The 19241-nt window shown below is 37.2% G+C and overlaps 1 protein-coding gene across 4 annotated transcripts in view; it reads left to right on the plus strand.

Annotated features, from left to right (window-relative positions):
- The window catches only part of ZNF638 (zinc finger protein 638), a 103280-nt gene that overhangs the window by 25816 nt on the left and 58223 nt on the right, over positions 1-19241 (plus strand). For all 4 annotated transcript variants that reach the window (NM_014497.5, NM_001252613.2, NM_001252612.2 and 1 more), the window contains exons 4-8: positions 5556-5594; positions 6357-6655; positions 7832-8109; positions 10785-10931; positions 12286-12408. In NM_014497.5, coding sequence (NP_055312.2) covers positions 5556-5594; positions 6357-6655; positions 7832-8109; positions 10785-10931; positions 12286-12408 — 886 coding nt within the window. The remainder of the gene's footprint in view (positions 1-5555; positions 5595-6356; positions 6656-7831; positions 8110-10784; positions 10932-12285; positions 12409-19241) is intronic.

A 19241-nucleotide genomic window follows, 5' to 3' on the forward strand; every position in this document is an offset into this window, starting at 1 on the left:
TTATAGCTACGTTAATTTACTTGAGCAAACAGCATGTATATATCTATTAAAGCCTTTAGTGTAGGTAAGCCTATTATTTTTTTCATACATGTAGGACCCTGATTTAAAGCATTTGCTTTCCATGCCTGCTACTTTAATGTTCTACTCTATTTTTTAACCATATCCAGTGTATTTTGGTTCTCCACAGAGATGAATAGGGGAGATATATATAAATACAAGCGTACCTCCTTTTATTGCACTTCGATTTATTGTACTTCCCATAATTTGCCTTTTTTACAAATTGAAAGATTGTGGGAACCCTGTGTCAAGTCTACTGGTGCCATTTTTCTTTTTGTTTTTTTCTTTTTGACTTAAACTGGGAGAGAATAAATTTCTATTTAGAGTCCAGAAGTCTGAAATCATGGTGTTAGTTGGGCCACCATTCCCTTCCGAGGCTCTGGGGGAAAATCTGTTCCATGCTTCTCTCCTAGTTTCTAGTGACTGGGGACAATCATTGACATTCCTTGGCTTGTAGCCTATCATTCCTATCTCTGCTACTGTCTTCACACCACCTTCTCTTCCCTTAAACCTCCCTATGCCCTGCTATTAGAAAGACACTGGCTATTGGATCTAGGGCCCATTGGATAATTCAGGATGATTTCATCTCAAGAATTTTAGTTTGATTACATCTGCAAAGATCCTTTTCCAAATCGGGTAACATTCACAAGTTCCAGGGATTGGAACATATATATGTATGTATCTTTTGGGGAGCACCATTCAAGAATCCATTTTAATCAGTTTCCCCTAATACCAAATCGCTCTCTCGTCTGGGCCTTGAGCAGTGCTTTTGCTGCCAAAAGCAATCAAGAGCTGAAGCTGAAAATGAACAGTGTGTGTATTAGCACCTGTATGCTGGTAAGAACTGCAACTGGATATATCCTTCGATCTGGCATCCTCTGGGTCAGTTTCCACTTTTTCCTATTGTGGGGCTTAAGGGTTCTTTCGTTACACAGGTAACTGTGGTTTGAAATTTAAAATAACAGTATGTCTTTCCTAATTCTCCAGGCTGTGTCTCCTAACCAGGCCTCATGATGCCTTCACAGTTTCTTACCTTCTGCACATTTTTCTTCACCTGGCCTCACTCTGATCACAATGGCAGATCCAGGGCCTCCCTCTTCCCTTGTCTCTACTGGGTCAGTCAGGACTCTTTCCTATCGGTGCCATTTTTCTAACAGCATGTGCTCACTTTGTGTCCCTGAGTCACACTCATAGTATTTCAAATTTTTGCATTATTACTATACCTGTTAATGGCAATCTGTGATCAGTGATCTTTGATTTTGACTTGCTGAGGGCTCATGATCAGTATTTTTTAGCAATAAAGTACTTTTTAATTAATACATGTTCATTTTTAAAAACATGCTATTGTACAGTTAATAGACTGGCATAGTCTAAACATAACTTTTATTTGCACTGGGAAACCAAAAAACTTATGTGACTCGCTTAGTGTGATGTTCTAGAACTGAATCTACAGTATCTCTGAGGTATGCCTATGTATCGATATATGACAGGGGATTTACTAGGGGAATTGGCTTACACAATTATGGAGGCGGAGAAGTCCCACAATATGCTGTCTGTGTGTTGAAGACTCTGGGTTTCTGGTAGTGTGGCTCAGTCCAAATTCAAAAGCTTCCAAACCAAGGAAGCTGATAGCATAATTCTCAGTCTGAGGCAAAAGGCCCTATAGCCCCAGGAGCCTGCTGATGCAAGTTGCATAAGACTTGGAGTTCTGATGTCCAAGAACAAGGAGGAGAAGGGCATCCCGCTCTGAGGGAAGGAGGGGTGGAGAGAGGGAATTCCACCTTCTTCCATCTATTTGTACCATCTGGGCTCCCAGCCTATGGCGTGATGCCCGCCCACATTGAGGGCAGATCTTCCTTACTCAGCCCACTGACTCACAGACTAATCTTCACTGGAAACACTCTCACAGACATGCCAAGAAACAATGCCTCACCAACCATCTAAGCATCCCTCAATCTAGTCAAGTTGACACCCAAAATTAACCATCACATTCAGGTTGTATGCACTTGAATAATTGCTTCATAACTTTCTCTCCACTGCAAAATAATTTAATAAATAGATTTGGTTAGGTGCTTGGGATCTGCATTCTTTATTCTTTTAAGCTGTGTTATAGGGATATACCTTCTTTCTACTCATTCCTCCATTGATGTATATTTAGATTTTTCTTTTCTTGTGGCTTATTCTCTCTGGCTTTATTGGCTCTTTCTGGATTATGATACAAGAGTAGTTGAGGAAAGATAACAGTGCATCAGAATTTTAATATTAAAAATAGGTAATTATGCTGTGTTTATTGTGTGCTGGGCATTCTTAGTGCTTTACATAATTGATTTAGTCTTCAAAACCATCTACGAGGTGTTAAGTATAAGGATTATTCCAGACTTTATCAATGAGAGAAGTGAGGCACAGAGACAATTTCCCTACCATCATGCAGCACATAGTTAAATGGAACTAGTTTAGCTCATGGGCCTTTATCATCCCTTCTACTTTTTTATGGCTTAAAAAATTTTCAGAATAAAATATTGAAGAGAAAAAGGAAGAAAAACATTTATGTGTTCTTCATCTATATTCACCATTTGTTAATATTTGCTTTATTATATCTTCATACATTTTTTTCTGAACTATTTGAAAATAAATTGCAGACATTATGGGACATCATTTCTAAATTCAGCATGTATCTCCGAAGTATTAGGATGTTCTGCATAACCACAATACAACACATTTAAGGAAATTAACAATAATTCCACAGTTCCTTCTAATATATAAGCCAAATTCATATTTTCCCATTTCTTTCCAGAATGCCTTTTATAATTCTTCTTGTTTGCCCCATCCATACCCTCAATCCAGTATTCAGTTAAGATTTATGCATTACAGTCTCTTTTAATCTAGAATAGCCTACTCTTTGTTTCGTTTGTTTTTTGTTTTGTTTGTCTTTTTTTTTTGTTTGAGAAGGATGTTTTTGTGGTGTTGATTTTTTCCTTGAAATGTCTGGGAAACTTGTTGAATGTCCCACTTCCTATAGTTTTCTATTTGTTTCCTTAGCATTAAATTCACTGAGAACATTTTTGTTGCAAATGCTTCGTTGGTGATGTGTATTTATTGCATCACATTGGGACAAAGATAATATCAGTTAACTAGGTCCTTGCTCTTAATAGTTAATGTTATACCACCTTTGTTGGGAGCGTTATTGCTTCTGAAGCACATTTTTGACTAGTTGGGCAGTATAGAGGTGTTTCCAAATTCTGCTTGCAGAATGTATACATGCTTTATCTTTCTGCTCTGGGCAGCAGAGATGAGAACATGTGTTACCTAGTGAACAGGTCTGAACTTGGTGAACCTGAACCTAATGAAGATCAACAATATTATTTATTGCTATCTCAGCTCACTGCAACCTCCACCTCCTGGGTTCAAGTGATCCTCCCACCTCAGCCTCCTGAGTAGCTAGGACCACTGGTGAGTGCCACCACGCTCAGCTAATTTTTTGTATTTTTGGTAGAGACAGGGTTGCCAAAGCTGGTCTCAAACTCCTGAGCTCAAGCGATCTGCCTACCTCAGCCTCCCGAAGTGTTGGGATTACAGGCATGAGCCACCATGCTCCACCATTATTACCAGCTCTTGAATATTAGTCTTCAAGCTCTTGTGAACCATAAACTAGAGACCCCCTGGAAATTTAATAACTTTGATGTGTTGTTAATCACCTTCATTTCCAGCATATACATGTGAGAAAGCTAAGGCTTACACATTCTAAGTAACTGGCTTTAAGTTTCTTAGCCATTAAATGACAGCACCTATAGTGAAACCCAGTTTTGTTTGATGATTAAAGATTTGCTTTGAATCACTGTAAGACTAGGAATTTATCCTCCTGGGTGGTACAGAGCAATGAAAGTTTTAAAAAGTGTGGAAATAGATGAAACAAAATTATCCATATATTGGGAATTGTTGACACTAGATGATGGGTATGTTGGATTAAAGTTAACTTTTTTGTCTTCACAGTTTGTCCTCTCATAATTAAAAGATGCTCCAGACAATATATCTATTCTCAAAGTAAGAAGAATGAGGCAGACGCTTTCTCAGATGTCTGTCAGGGGTTTTGTACCTGTATCTCATTGGTTAGAACTTACCACTGGCTGTCTTCTAGAGATAGTGGGAAAGCAAATATTTAGCTTTTTTTTTGCCATTGTAATAAAGGCAAACAAGGGAAAAGGGAATTGAGAATTGCTGTGGGGTTAGCTCATTAACAATGTCTGAGGCAAATAGCAACCAAGACAAACCACTTTAATAAGGTTCGACCTAACGTTATTTTCCTGCTAGGTGATTTGTCAGAAGTTTGCTGCCTCCATTTCCTTACCTGGCTTTCATCTTGCTGCTGAAATTTTATTCTTAAATGTAGTGATTTATTTATTTAATATAATCAGCATGTCCAGATGCCTCTTAGAGTTCAGATTTTCTAGAAGTTGAGAGTGAAGATACAGCCTTTTTCTTAGGCTTCTATGATATTACTGTTTCTCCTACTAGTTTTTCCGTGATTGCTTCTTAATCTTTTATTATTTTTTTTCTTTGCTTTACTCTAAAGTTGTCGATGTGCCTAAGATTCTGTCCTCGGCTCTCTTTTTTCCTATAAACTTCATCTTGTGTTAGTCTCACTCTTAGGGCTATAATTGCGGCTTCTACATGCCTGATTTCTAAATATCTCAGCTCTCATCTTTTCCCCTAATTCCAGATATTCCTTTACACTTATTCTGAAAACATTCCTGTTATCTTCTCTTACAAATGTTCGTTAAGTTCCCATTGTTTTTTTCCTGTGTGTAACCTCATTACCTGATTTTAAGGCTCTTCGTAATTTGTCTCTACCTGAAACAACAGACAGCCTGTCCAAGTTTCCCCCTTTATAATTCCTTTTCATCATGTCTATGCTGTAGCCAGACCACTTCCTGGAACAAAACACCGATGTTTTGCCTCCAATCTTAGTTTACATATTGCCACTGCATGAAATCTAACCTGATCCATTCCTATTAATAGATCTTTGTAAGGGCTACTTGAAAAGCAACCCTTTCTATGAGTTCTCTCCTGATTCCTCTCAGTGGACATATCTTTATGAGGACTACTTGGGGCAAGTTAAGGGGCACCATTCATGTTGTATTCTGTGAGTTGCCATATGGAATATGATAGGAGTGGTGTTCCCTAGAGTTCTGTAAAGTAGATGAACTGTCTTCTCTCTTTTAACCCTTAACCTAAGCTCGTATCTTGTACCTCTTAACACTTCTGTGCATATGCTGGCCGGTTTACTTAAATGAAAGTTTAGGCCTTTAAAGTATGGGGAGTGTGTTTCCCTGATACACCTATTAGCATAATACTTTGATTATTTATTGAATTAAACTCTCAAAATATTTTATTTCCAATAAAAGTTGTGAAAAGTCCTTTTGATATATTACAGGTAAAGATTAATTGAGCCTTACAGTCTGATTTTAGCTGTTAGTTAATATTGTTTATTTTCAAAATAGGTATCCTGATTGGAATCCTGAGATCCTCCCATCGAGAAGGTAATTTTTAAAAATAGTAATATTATTAAAACCTGATTGTCTTTTAAAAGTAAACAGTTAATTTTAAGAAAGTGATTCTTTTGAGTTCTACTTCTGCCATTTAAACAACAGGCAAATGCAAAAACCTCTATGAATCTTTAACTTATTCCAGCTTAAAGGTGACACAGCCCCTCCCCTGATCTACTTTCTTTAGCCTGTTCTGAAAATACTTTATTCTGACATTATTATTTTATGTTTATGACATCTTCTCTTGTAAATGCCTTGAATGCTAGGAGTGATATTATTAAGTTCTGTATCCCCTAGGGGATTCTCCTCAGGTTATGTGTGTACACACACGTACACACACATAGAGAAATCAAAGTCATATTTATAGATGGCATAATCTTTCAGGAAAAAATTATTGAAAACATCTGTTTACGTAAATCATTTCCTAAATTCTTTACATAATTTAATACTTTAAAAACATAATTGGAATAATGTTGGTACAGGAAAAACCAGAGAAATTCATTATCGTATTCTTCTGTAAACTAGAAAACAGACATCCAAGCAATTGGAGGGCTGATAAACTGTTCTGATTGTTTCTTATTTACGTATAAGGCTGAATTACATCATAACAAACAGATTTTTGTTTTAAGTACATATCTTTTATGAGAGTTTGGTATTGTTAACAGTCTGTTTTTAACAAGGTACTTCTGTCATTTATTATCATTTAAATTTACATTAAATTGCTGATCACTTTCTTTTCCGCCCCCCTGCTTGTAGAAATGAGGGCAATAGAAAAGAAAATGAAACTCCACGAAGACGTTCTCATTCCCCCAGTCCTAGGCGTTCTAGAAGATCAAGCTCAAGTCACAGATTCCGTCGGTCTCGAAGCCCAATGCATTACATGTATAGGCCGAGAAGTCGAAGTCCAAGAATTTGCCATCGTTTCATTTCTAGATACAGATCCAGATCCAGATCCCGTTCACCATATCGAATTAGAAATCCATTTAGAGGTAGTCCAAAATGCTTTCGATCAGTTAGCCCTGAGAGGATGTCAAGGAGATCAGTGAGATCATCAGGTACACTGATGGCCATGAAATAGTGAATGTACTTATTTTGACTAAATTTTTAAATGTCTTTCTTTTTGGATTTTGAGAAATGTTCTACTTTATTAAATTTTAGAGTTGATAAATGAAATCTGACCCACATGCCACAGAGTTATTCCCTCTGGTAACTTGGCAAAGAAATGTGTGTGAATGTATGTGTCCATCAACATCATATTTAAAAACCAAGGATGGTAAAAATGTCTTAGTTTGCTTTAATAATTGATTATAGAATTCCATGGATTAATTTAAAATGTTTTTGAGATTATTTTTTTTAACCTGTGACTTAATGTTGATTTTATGACCCTTTCAGAACTAGCTCACACATGCATGCCCACATACACAAACACACACCTTCTTCTACAATGAAAGAAACCATAGTTAATATCTGAGAAGTACTTTGACACTCCCACTGTTTCACTTGACTAGCCTGAAAAATTCAAAAATAGTACTTTGCACAGGTCTTATTGTGTCTAGTATAGTCTAAAATGCTGAATTCAAATGGAGATACCTTTAATTATATAAGGCATTCCTTCTTAAAGTATGGCCCAAGGATCGATTGGGGTCCTCAAGATCTTTTAAGAGTTCTATGAGATCTCTTTTCTAATTACATGCCTCCATGAGGCTGGATTTTCTTTATCCAGAAGCAGATATAAGAATTTAGGTTCTTCTTTTAAGCTCAACATTAAAATGTGTGGAAGAAGGTACTATAGTGCTACACATTTCACTAATTTTGTTTTGGGAATTACAGTTGGTTTTTATAAAAATATTTATGTTAATATGGGAATTTACTTTTTTTGCCATTACTTTCAGTGGCAAAAACTGCAGTTACTTTTGCACCAACCTAACATATGAATTGATAAATATTTTTACAATTTAATTTCTAATATGGTAAATATCAGTAAATATAACACAAATCTTTGTAGTCTTCAATAAGTGTAAAGCAATCTCAAAACCAAAAGTTTGAGGATCACTGGTATAAGGGAATAAAGGAACTTCATGTAAAAGCCTTCTGAGTGCATAAAATCTAGATTTTTGTATTGTCTGTGTGCTCCCTGTTTAGCTTGAGAATAGCACTATGTGATTATGTCATGAGATGGCTCCTACCTTAATTTTTTTCCAATTGAAATTATATTTATATCTTTTTACTAGATAGAAAAAAAGCATTAGAAGATGTAGTACAACGATCTGGGCATGGGACAGAATTTAATAAACAGAAGCATCTTGAAGCTGCTGATAAGGGACATTCACCAGCACAAAAGCCTAAAACTAGCAGTGGAACAAAACCATCAGTTAAACCTACAAGCGCTACAAAGAGTGATTCAAATCTAGGAGGACATTCTATTCGTTGTAAATCAAAGAATCTTGAAGATGACACTTTGTCAGAATGTAAACAGGTGTCTGATAAAGCTGTTTCTCTCCAGCGAAAGGTAATTCTTTAATTAATAATTATTTTTAGAGATAAGGTTTCACTCTGTCATCCTCGCTGGACTGCAGTGGTGCAACAAGCATGGCTCACTGCAGCCTCGATCTCCTGGGCTCAAGTGATCCTCCTGCCTCATCTTCCCAAGTAGCTGGCACCACAGGCGTGTGCCACCATGCCTGGCTAATTTTTTAATTTTTGTAGAGATGGGGTCTTGCCATGTTGCTCAGGCTGGTCTCGAACTACTAGGTTCAGGCAGTCCTTCCACGTCAGCTTCCCTAAGTGCATGAGCCACTATGCCTGGCTTCGTAATTCTTTGTTAGTGCAAATATGCGTACATTTGCTATGACAAACAGAAAACAAAGTTGTTGCCAGGCATGGTGGCTTATGCCTGAATCCCAGCACTTTGGGAGGCCAAGCGGGGTGGATCGCTCGAGCTTAAGAATTTGAGGCCAGCCAGAGCTACGTGGTGGAACTCCCTCTCTACAAAAAATATAAAAATGAGCTGGGGGTAGCGGCGGGTGCCAGTAGTCCCAGCTACTTGGGAGGCCTTGGGAGGCTCAGGTGGAAGGATCACTTGAGCCCGGGAGGCAGAGGTTGCAGTGAGCTGAGGTCACACCACTGCACTCCAGCCTGAACTACAGAAGGAAGACCCTGTCTCAAGAAAAAAAAAAAAATGAAGTTGTCTTAACTTTTTTATTCCGTGTTTCCAATAACTTTGAAATTATGAGTTTTGTTACATGATTTTAGTATGGAATATTTTACTGGTTTTTCTTGTGAGTATAATAAAAGTCCAAGGTTCAAAATCTCGTAGCTTAGGAATTCCAGTGGTTTGGTATTTGATGTGTCAAAAGAACATTTTGATGGTTTGGCATTTTTGGCTAGCTTCACAAGCAGATCACTGTGATGAGTTTTGCTCTCTAATTGGGAAAATGAATAATCACCAGCAGCATTATTGAGCTTTTGTAATCTTTTTTAGTAAGGTATAAGAGTGAGCCTCTCCTGAGAATTGATCATTATTCATCTGTTCTATACTTTTTGTGGTACAGTTCAGAAGTCAAATACTCTGTTGTACAGTGTAAAATTTATACTTTGGTACTGATTTATTAGTGTTATTTTGACTGTAACCTACTGGTTACGATACTAAGGTATTGTTTTATTGTATGTGTTTATTAAATCACTATTAATATATTAAAACATCAAGAGACTATCTTCAGAGAAAATCCTAATAGGCCCAATATCAAATATTTTGTATATTTTAATATTAATAAGTCTTCAAGTATTTAGGTATGGAATGCATTGCTCTCAACAGTATTTAAATACATGAAAGACTTTCAGTAAGTGCTGTTCCCTGCCCCAAAGAACTTACATTTAGAAGGATAAACTTCTGATAATCAACCAGTAATTAACAGAATTTTGAAGAGCATTGGGAAGAAATTTTTGAGTATAGGGAAAATTTTGAAGAGGCTGAGTTAGTCTCATAATATGAAGTTCTTTTCATTTTGTTTCAAGACTTCTAGGTGGTGGCAGTGGAACTTTTTTTTTTTTAAGTTTTCTTATTTAGTAAAAAATAAGAGAAATGGGGGTCTCGCTTTCTCACCCAGGCTGGAGTGTAGTGGCACAGTCATAGCTCACTGCAGCCTCAAGTTCCTGAGCTCAAGTATCCTCCTGCCTCAGGCTCCCAGGTAGAAGACTACAGGTATGCGCCAACACACCCAGCTGGGTGTTTTAATTTTTTTTTTTTTTTTTTTTGAATCAGAGTCTCGCTCTGTCACCCAGGCTGGAGTGCAGTGGCGTGATCTTGGCTCACACAACCTCCGCCTCCCAGGTTCAAGTGATTCTCCTGCCTCCTGCCTTAGCCTCCTGAGCAGCTGGGATTATAGGCGTGTGCCACCACGCCTGGCTAATTTTTTTTATTTTTAGCAGAGACGGGGTTTCACCGTGTTGGTCAGGCTGGTCTCGAACACCTGACCTTGTGATCTATCCACCTTGGTCTCCCAAAGTGCTGGGATTACAGGCGTGAGCCACCAGGCCTGGCCTTTTTTTTTTTTTAAAAATATAGAGTCTTAGTATGTTGCCCATCCTGGTCTTAAACTCCTGGCCTCAAGCGATCTTTCTGCCTTGGCCTCCCAAAGCAGTGGGATACAGGCATGAGCCACCATGCCTGGCTGTAATTTTTAACGTAAGCGGTAAAGTTGATACTACAGTGTATTCAAATGGTATGCATTATATATGAATTTTTAAAAATATTATACCTGTCTAGAGATCATTTCCAATTATTAGAACAGAGGGGGTAAGCAAAGCTGTAATTTCAGCTTTACTTGTTGGTGGGCCATGTAGTTTCATAGAAAAATTCTCTCTAATGGCCTTGGAACATTCCATAGATCTTATTTGCTATAAGATGCTATCAACAGAAAAGAGCACCTGTAAACCATTTCTGGGTTAAAAAATATAAATAACATTTCTTACCACTTTTGCATTTAAAATCTTATTAAAGTGTTAAAATCGTGATTTAAAAATGCGTAAAGGAGGTGGTGAAGGAAAAAGAAAAATGGGTAAAAAATATGGAAAAGACCCTTTAGTGTACTAATATTAGTGGTAGAAGAAATTATATAGGAAATTATTACTGTACATTGTAGCTTAATTTGGTTTATTTTAAATTTTCTTTCACTCCAAAAATAGCTTCGGAAAGAACAGTCATTGCATTATGGTTCGGTTCTTCTTATAACTGAATTACCAGAGGATGGTTGTACTGAAGAAGATGTGAGAAAATTATTTCAACCATTTGGGAAAGTGAATGATGTCCTAATTGTTCCATATAGAAAAGAGGTGAGTCATTTAGTCTGTGGCAAAAATTCATACAAAGTGATTGCTTTAATGATTCTATAAATTGCTGTTGTGTTCCTTAGCTGCTTGTACTGCATATATAATTGTTCTTTGAGAGTTATATAAATGTCTGGATGTGAATAAGCAAGGCCGCAAAATAATGTTTTATATCCTTTAAAATAAGTGTTTGCCCACTTTTTCTGTAAAGGGCCAGCTAAATATTTTTGGTTTTATAAGCCATCTGTAGGATCTCAACTACTGTGCTCTGGCATTCTAGTACAAAAACAGCTATAAGTAATATGTAAATGCGCAAGCATGGCTGTGTCCAAAAAACTATTTACAAAAATAGGTAGTATGCCATAGTTTGCCAGTCATTACTTTAGAACACCAGTTAGATAATACTAAAACAAATTATTTCCTTTGTATGGTTAAGTATTTTCTGTGGGTTATATTCCTATAACTCACATGATAAAGTTAAGAACTGTGAACAGTTCTTCACATAAGCACAACATAAAATAGTTAGTTAAGGCTGGGCGTGTTGGCTTGTGCCTGTAATCGCAGCACTTTGGGAGGCTGAGGCAGGTGGATCGCCTGAGATCAGGAGTTTGAGACCAGCCCGACCAACATGGTGAAACCCCGTGTCTACTAAGAATACAAAAATTAGCCAGACATCTGTAATCCCACCTACGTGGGAGGTTGAGGCAGGAGAATCTCTTGAACCCGGGAGGCAGAGGTTGCAGTGACTAGAGATGGCGCCGCTGCACTCTAGCCTGGGCAACAGAGTAAGGCTCCGTCTCAAAAAAAAAAAAAAAAAAAAGTTTTGTGAGTTAAGGCTGGGTGTGGTGGCTGAAGTCTGTAATCCCAGTACTTTGGGAGGCCAAGGCTGGAGGATCGCTTGAGGCCAGGAGTTCAAGACCAGCCTGGGCAACATAGCAAGACCTCTGTCTTAATTTTTTTAAAAAGTTTGTGAGTCAGGACAGGGAACATAGTGATAGTGTTGTCTTTGTTGCAAGAAGCCTTTAAAATGTCAGACCTACCACAAGCTGGACCATATCTTCCCTTCCCTCCTGTTGTTCAGTGAGCCCTGCCTTCTCATTTCCTCTTCTTCCATGAGCCTGCCTGGATTTTTTTTTATCTTGGTAGTGGTATAGAAATTATGTAAGGTTAAATGTCCATTTAATGTGTGAAACATCCTTAATCAAATTATACTTGACCAAAATAAAAACAGGCAAAAGCAACCATGACTTGAGGTAGTTTCATAGTTTGATGTTACAAAAGAAAGGATTAAGCCCATTTTAAAATGCAGGAACTTTTAAAGATAGATTTGTGACTAAAGATGGAATAAATTTCATTTTAGGCTTACCTAGAAATGGAATTTAAAGAGGCAATTACTGCAATTATGAAGTACATTGAAACAACACCTCTTACGATAAAAGGAAAAAGTGTGAAAATATGTGTTCCAGGAAAGAAAAAAGCACAGGTAATCTGGATTTAGGTCTTAAATGTTTTATCACTGTTGTTTTAGTTTAACTTTTTTGTTTAAGTATGGCACACATATAGAAATAGGCATAGAAACATAAATGTTAGCTCAACACATTATATGTGCATTAATTCAAGTATGTTGAAATTAAAACTTCCTCATACATGTATGGTGCTATATACAGTATTAAATAACGACGACTAGGAGAAAATACTTGCCATATATAACACAAAAATAGCAAACATCTGTGAATCTGGTACCTAGGTCACAAAAGAGAACATTTGACAGTATCTGGAAGTCCCTTGCTTGCTTCTTCCCAATTCTTACACCCTCCCTTCTTCTCACAAGTAAACACTAACTTGATTTCTAATGCCATAGTTGAGTTTTGCCTGTTTTCAACTTTACATAAACAAAATCGTATAGTGTACATTCTTTGGGCCTTTACTTCCTTAGAAGTATCAAGTTTTGTAACTTTAATTTTTCTAGATCATTTCTGTGCTTCAGTTCATATGATCGTAGATAATATCTATAGAATTACTTTAAATTACCCTTTAAGGATGAGCTTTCTGTTAAGTAAAAAGCTATATGTATATCTCACCTGTAAGGTTTTCTTTGTGTATGTGTGTGTTTTTTAAAATAGGGTGTTGAGAAAATATTTTTATATCTTAAAAAAAATTATTGTATTTTTAATTTTTGTGGGTACATAGTAGGTATATATATTTATGAGGTACATGAGATGTTTAGATGCAGGCATGCAGTGTGTAATAATCACATTATGGAAAATGGGATATCTGTCCCCTCCAACATTTATTCTTTGTGTATCAAATAATCCAGTTATACTCTTATAATTGTTTAAAAATGTAACATTAAATTATTTTTTACTATAGTCACTCTGTTGCGCTAGCTAATACTGGGTCTTACTCATTCTGTTTTTTTTTGGTACCCATTAATTATCCCCTCCTCTACCCCCTGTTACCCTTCCCAGCCTCATAACCATCCTTCGACTTTCTGTCTCCATGAGTTCAGTTGTTTTAGAGCCCACAAATTGTGGGATTTTTTAGATACCACAAATAAGTGGGAACATGTGATCTTTGTCTTTCTGTGCCTGGCTTATTTCACTTAATATAATGACTTCCAGTTTCATCCATGTTATTTTAAATAACTGAATCTCATTCATTTTTATGGCTGAAGAGTACTCCATTGTGTTATGTACCACATTTTCTTTATCTATTCATGTGTTGATGGACACTTAGTTTGCTTCCAGATCTTAGCTAATGTGAACAGTGCTGCAAGAAACATGGGAGTACAGATACCTCTTCAATATACTGATTTCTTTTCTTTTGGGTATATATACCCAGCAGTGGGATTGCTGGATTGTATGGTTGATCCTATTTTTAGTTTCTTAGGACCCTTCAAAATGTTCTCCATAGTGATCGTACTAATTTACGTTCCCACCAACAATATACTGAGGGTTCCCTTTTCTCCACATCCTGGCCAGCATTTGTTTTTGCCTGTCTTTTGGATAAAAGCCATTTTAACCGGGGTAAGATGGTATCTCATTGTAGTTTTGATTTGCATTTCTGTGATGATCAGTGATGTTGAGTACCTTTTCGTGTGCCTTTTTGCCATTTATGTGTTGTCTTTTGAGAAATGTTTCTTCAGATCTTTTGCCCATTTTTTTTTTATCAGAGTATTAGTTTTTTTTTTTCCTGTAAAGTGGCTTGAGTTCCTTATATATTCTGGTTATTAATCCCTTGTCAGATTTTTTTCCTGTAAAGTGGCTTGAGTTCCTTATATATTCTGGTTATTAATCCCTTGTCAGATGGATAGTTTGCAATTATTTTCTCTCATTTTGTGGGTTGTCTGTTGTTTCCTTTGCTCTGCAGAAGCTTTTTAACTTGAAGTGGTCCCATTTGTTCATTTTTGTACAGCATTTGCCTGTGTTTGTGGGGTATTACTGAAGAAATATTTGCCCAGACTGATGTCCTGGAGAGAGAGTTCCTCCAGTGTTTTCTTGTAGTAGTTTCATAGTTAGAGATCTTAGATAAAAGTCTTTAATCTATTTTTATTTGATTTTTGTATATGGTGAGAGATAGGGTTCAGGTTCATTAATGCATATGGATATCCAGTTTTCCCAGCTGGTACCTCCCTAGGTTACATGCCATCCCAGCCCACTAGCTCTAATCCCAGCCCCAGCCCTAAGAGTTGCCTAGGAGTTGTTGTCCTTGTGTCCTAGACTACCTTTCAGGTTTACCTAGCACCCTGGAGCACTTTAGCCCATGGTAGTGAGACTTGCCAAGAAATTCAGATTCTTATTGCCGGGATGGATGAGTCCTCTTTGGCTAGGTCTGGTCCAAAGGCTCCTTCAGTGCATGGGTGCTGGCTGAGTACAGCATGGCTTTGCTGTCCACTGTGACAGAGCAGCACTGAGTTCAATGTAAAGTCCCCTAGTTACTGCGCTGTCCCTTCCTAAAGTGCACAGACTCTGTCCATGTTGTGGGGCCAGATTAGGGAGGTGTGCTGTCAGGGATTTAAGGCTGTCTCTGCTACCCTCGTCAATGCCTCTTTCAGTGATACAAAGTCAAAACCAGGTAGTATGAATGCTCACTTGATATTTGGTTCTTGTGATGATGCTTTTCTGTGTGCAGATAGTCGTTAAAATTTGGTGTTCCTGCTGGGGATGGGATGAACAGTGTAGGGTTCTATTCTACCATTTTGCTCCACCCAGCTATGTGTTCTAGTAATTTAATTTTTCTACTAGCTGTGGAATGGCTACTTTATAGAGGTTCTATAACACACATTTCTCAATAATTTGATTTGGTAGTCTAACCATGTTAGTGCATTCCTCATTCTTTGTAACTTCTCTATAGTGTTTCTCTGTATGAATATACCACAGATGTATTACCAATTCCTTACTGATTGATATTTAGGTTGTTTCTAGAAACAGAACTTTAGTTAACACCTTGTGTACCTTCACAGGCCATCTTTTGACATTTATGATAGTGGTTTTTTAGGTGATACCTACCCAATGGAATGGTTGGTTTATAGGATGCACAGTAATGGATAATATAAGATTGCTCACTAAATAACTGTTATAATTTACTCCCTGGTAATTTATGAGAGTATTACCAACAACATCTTAATTTCTTCAGCTTTAAAAATTCGTTATATAGAAAATGATATCTAGTTTTAATTTGCATCTTTTTGATTATTCATTAACTTCATCTTTTTATATAATTGTTAGCTATATCTATTAACTGTTTAAGTGAGTTGTCTGTATCTTTTCCTATTTTATTATTGTTGTCTTTTTAAAAATATTCATTTGAAGGTGCATGAATATTGTGCATTCTAGACACTAATTTTGCATTGTATGTAAGAAGTCTTTTCTTACAGTCTGTTGCTTGTGTTATGCATACATATATCAAGTTTGAATTTTTTTTTTTTTTTTTTTTTTTTTTTGGCGGAGCCTCTCTCTGTCGCCCAGGCTGGAGTGCAGTGGCACCATCTCGCCTCACTGCAAGCTCCACCTCCCGGGTTCACGTCATTCTCCTGCCTCAGCCTCCTGAGTACCTGGGACTACAGGTGCTCGCCACTAACAGAGATGGGGTTTCACCATGTTAGCCAGGATGGTCTTGATCTCCTGACCTCGTGATCCGTCCGCCTCGGCCTCTGAAAGTGCTGGGATTACAGGCGTGAGCCACCTCGCCCGGCCAAGTTTGATGTTTTTATGTACTCAAATTTATTGGTATTCTATGGCTTCTGCATTTTTTTCTTTATTATTTTTATGCCTGTGACACAGCCTCAGGAGGTTCTGAGGACATGTTCCCCTCTTTTTGAGACAAGGTCTCACTCTATCACCCAGGCTGGAATGCGGTGGCACAATTTCGGCTCATTGCCACCTCCGCCTCCCAGGCTCAAGTAATCCTCCCACCTCAGCCTCCTGAGTACCTGGGACTACAGGTGCAAGCCACCGCGCATAGCTAAGTTTTAATTTATTTTTTGTAGATATGAGGTTTCACTTTGTTGCCCAAGGTGATCTCACACTCCTGGGCTCAGGTGATTCTCCTGCCTCGGCCTCCCGAAGTGTTGGGATTACAGGCATGAGCCACTGTTTCTGGCCTGCTTTTTTTTCTTTTGTCTTTTTAAGAACTTGCCTGTGCTAGTGCCTAAAAGGTTTTATTCCTTAATCTATTATTTGCAGCATAATATAGGATTGGAATCAGTATTATTTCCAAAATGGGAGCCAGTTAGCCTCAACACTATTTATGCCTAATTTATCCTTGTTGATTTGAAAAGCTTCTTTTATGTGTATAAATTCTGTATACATAGATGTGTTTCATACTCTTCTGTTGTGGCAATACTATGTGGTTTCTGTTACAACAATTACTATAGCTTCCTAATATTTCCCTGTCTTTCTTGTAGAGTTATTTTTCTTTGTTTATTCATTTTGGTTAATGTTTTTCCTCTTTATTTAAATTCATTTTGTTTAATCTTGAACATTTACTCCTGCACATTAGTTTTAGAATCAGTTTAAGTTCTCTTAAAAAAAACTTACTGGAATTTAATTAATACTGTGTTGAATTCGTGATAGTATTTTTACAACACTAAGTCTTTCTATCAAAAAACATAGTTCGTTGGCTGGTGGCTCTTGCCTGTTATCCTAGCATTTTGAGAGGCTGAGGTGGGCAGATAACTTGAGCTCAGGAGTTTGAGACCAGCGTGGGGCAATACGATGAAACCCTGTCTCTACTAAAAATACAAAAATTAGCTGGGTGCGGTGGTGCATGCATGTAGTCCCAGCTACTCAGGAGGAGGCTGAGGCAGGAGGATTGCTTGAGCCCACACGATGGAGAGGTAGCACTGAGCTGAGATAGCACCATGGCACCCCAGCCTGGGCAACAGAGCCAGGCTTTGTCTTAAACAAACAAAGAACATGGTTTGTCCATTTAGATTTCCTTTTATGCCCTTTAGCAAGTTTTATTTTTTTTTCCATAAAGTTCTTGAACATTTTGTGGTGGTTAAATTTATTATTTTACTTATTTTTACATATAGCTATTAGAGAGGATCTTTATTTTTTAGTTCTCATATGTTTTCTAGTTAGTTACTACTAGAGTAACCTATCATCCTAGTTTATACCTGCTACATGCCATCCATTTATTCCCATTGTCCTGGTTTGGATAATAAATTAAATCGTGTGGCCTTAGTTATTAACAATTTTATCATTTAGGATTTCATTCAGTTTCAACTAATAAAACCTCACTAGTGGATTGTTAACAAATAAGAGGTATATTTATCTCATAACAGAAATCTGCATGTAGGTGGTCCAGTGCTCGTGCAACAGCTCCATAATATCTTCAGGAACCTCGCCTTGTCTTCCAGCACTACTGTCTGTAGAATGTATCTTTCATCCTCATTTGTAAGATGGTTTCTGCACCTTCTGGCATCTTTTCTATCTTCGAGACATACAGGAATAAAAATGCAGAGCAAAATGAGTTTTTGTTTTCTTTTCTGGAAAGAGTGAGTTCCCCAGCAGCATTTGCCTGCATTTGATTTACCAGAACTACCAGACACATGGCCATCTAGTTGCAGAGGCAGTTAAGGAGAAACAAGGATTAAATACATAATTTAAGAACTTAAACTTTATCCTGTAGAGAGGTATATGTTATTCAAGGTTTTTGAACCAGGGCATGACATAATAAAACGGAGATTAGAAAGATTCATTTGGAAATGGTTTGGAGAATGAGTTAGGCAAATGATTTTGAAGGCAAAGAAAGCCTAGCAGATTGATTAAAGTGGAGAAGAGCACTGAAGTCCAATTAGAAGACTTGTTTAATCAATATACTCAGCCTTTTGTGATAATGGTAATGGTTTGTGGGTAGATTAGTAACCTTGAAAACAGAAAGGAATAGTGGCTTATACTAGTGACTGTCCAGAAAGACCTAGCTGATCATTAAATTTTTGGAATTGTTGAGAAGGCCAGTTTTCTTTCATTCTAAACAGTTAACATAGTTAAGGAACATAGGTAAGGATACATTTAAGGAAATAGAATGTTTCAAATAGCTTAAAAAATTCTCTTGGCCAACTTTTTGATGAAGTTGGTAAAGTAGCAGTGTAAGTCCAAGAGCCCAGGCATATTTACTGTCATGATTTTCATAGCAATGAATAGGTAAAGAAAATACGAGCACTAGAAGCTAGAAAACATGCCATTTTCATGGCAAATATTAATGTTCTTCAGCTAAATGTTGTTTGGATGATGCTGGAACAAGAAGGCTAACTCATGACACCTCTGTTGTGACAGAGCAACATGCCTAGGGATTGAGTGGAGGGAACTCTGAACAGAATTTGAGTTGTGCCTTCTTCATATTGGAAGTATGTGGACAATTGTTTTTGTTGTTGTTTGTTTGTTTGTTTTGTTTTGTAAATAAGTGTCTGAGGCAGGAAGGGGCAATCTTTTTGGCCTGTTACCACTTCAAGTTTTTCTACCAGTGCAAGCCAAAAATAAGCTGAAAGAACAAACTAGGAAGAAGAAGAGCTGTGCTATAGCTTTCTTGGTCCAAATCTTGATTTTGGCATGGCATGTCAAAACCTAGAAAAAACTTACCCGCCCAACATTTGATATTTCATGTTAGGACTGCCTCTAACTCTAGCTGTGTTTCATGTAACATCTTCTCCATTTTGCTGCTTCTATGAATCTAAATATTACAGAAAAGGTAAAAAAAATCCTATATCCCTATGTTAATATGGATTTGTACAACTCTTGTCAGAAACTAGGTAACTTAGTCTTTAATAATAACCTTGTAACCTAGTCTTTAATAATAATAATTTAATAATAA

Source organism: Homo sapiens, chromosome 2 (genome assembly GCF_000001405.40).
Source record: "Homo sapiens chromosome 2, GRCh38.p14 Primary Assembly".
NCBI classification, from domain to species: domain Eukaryota; kingdom Metazoa; phylum Chordata; class Mammalia; order Primates; family Hominidae; genus Homo; species Homo sapiens.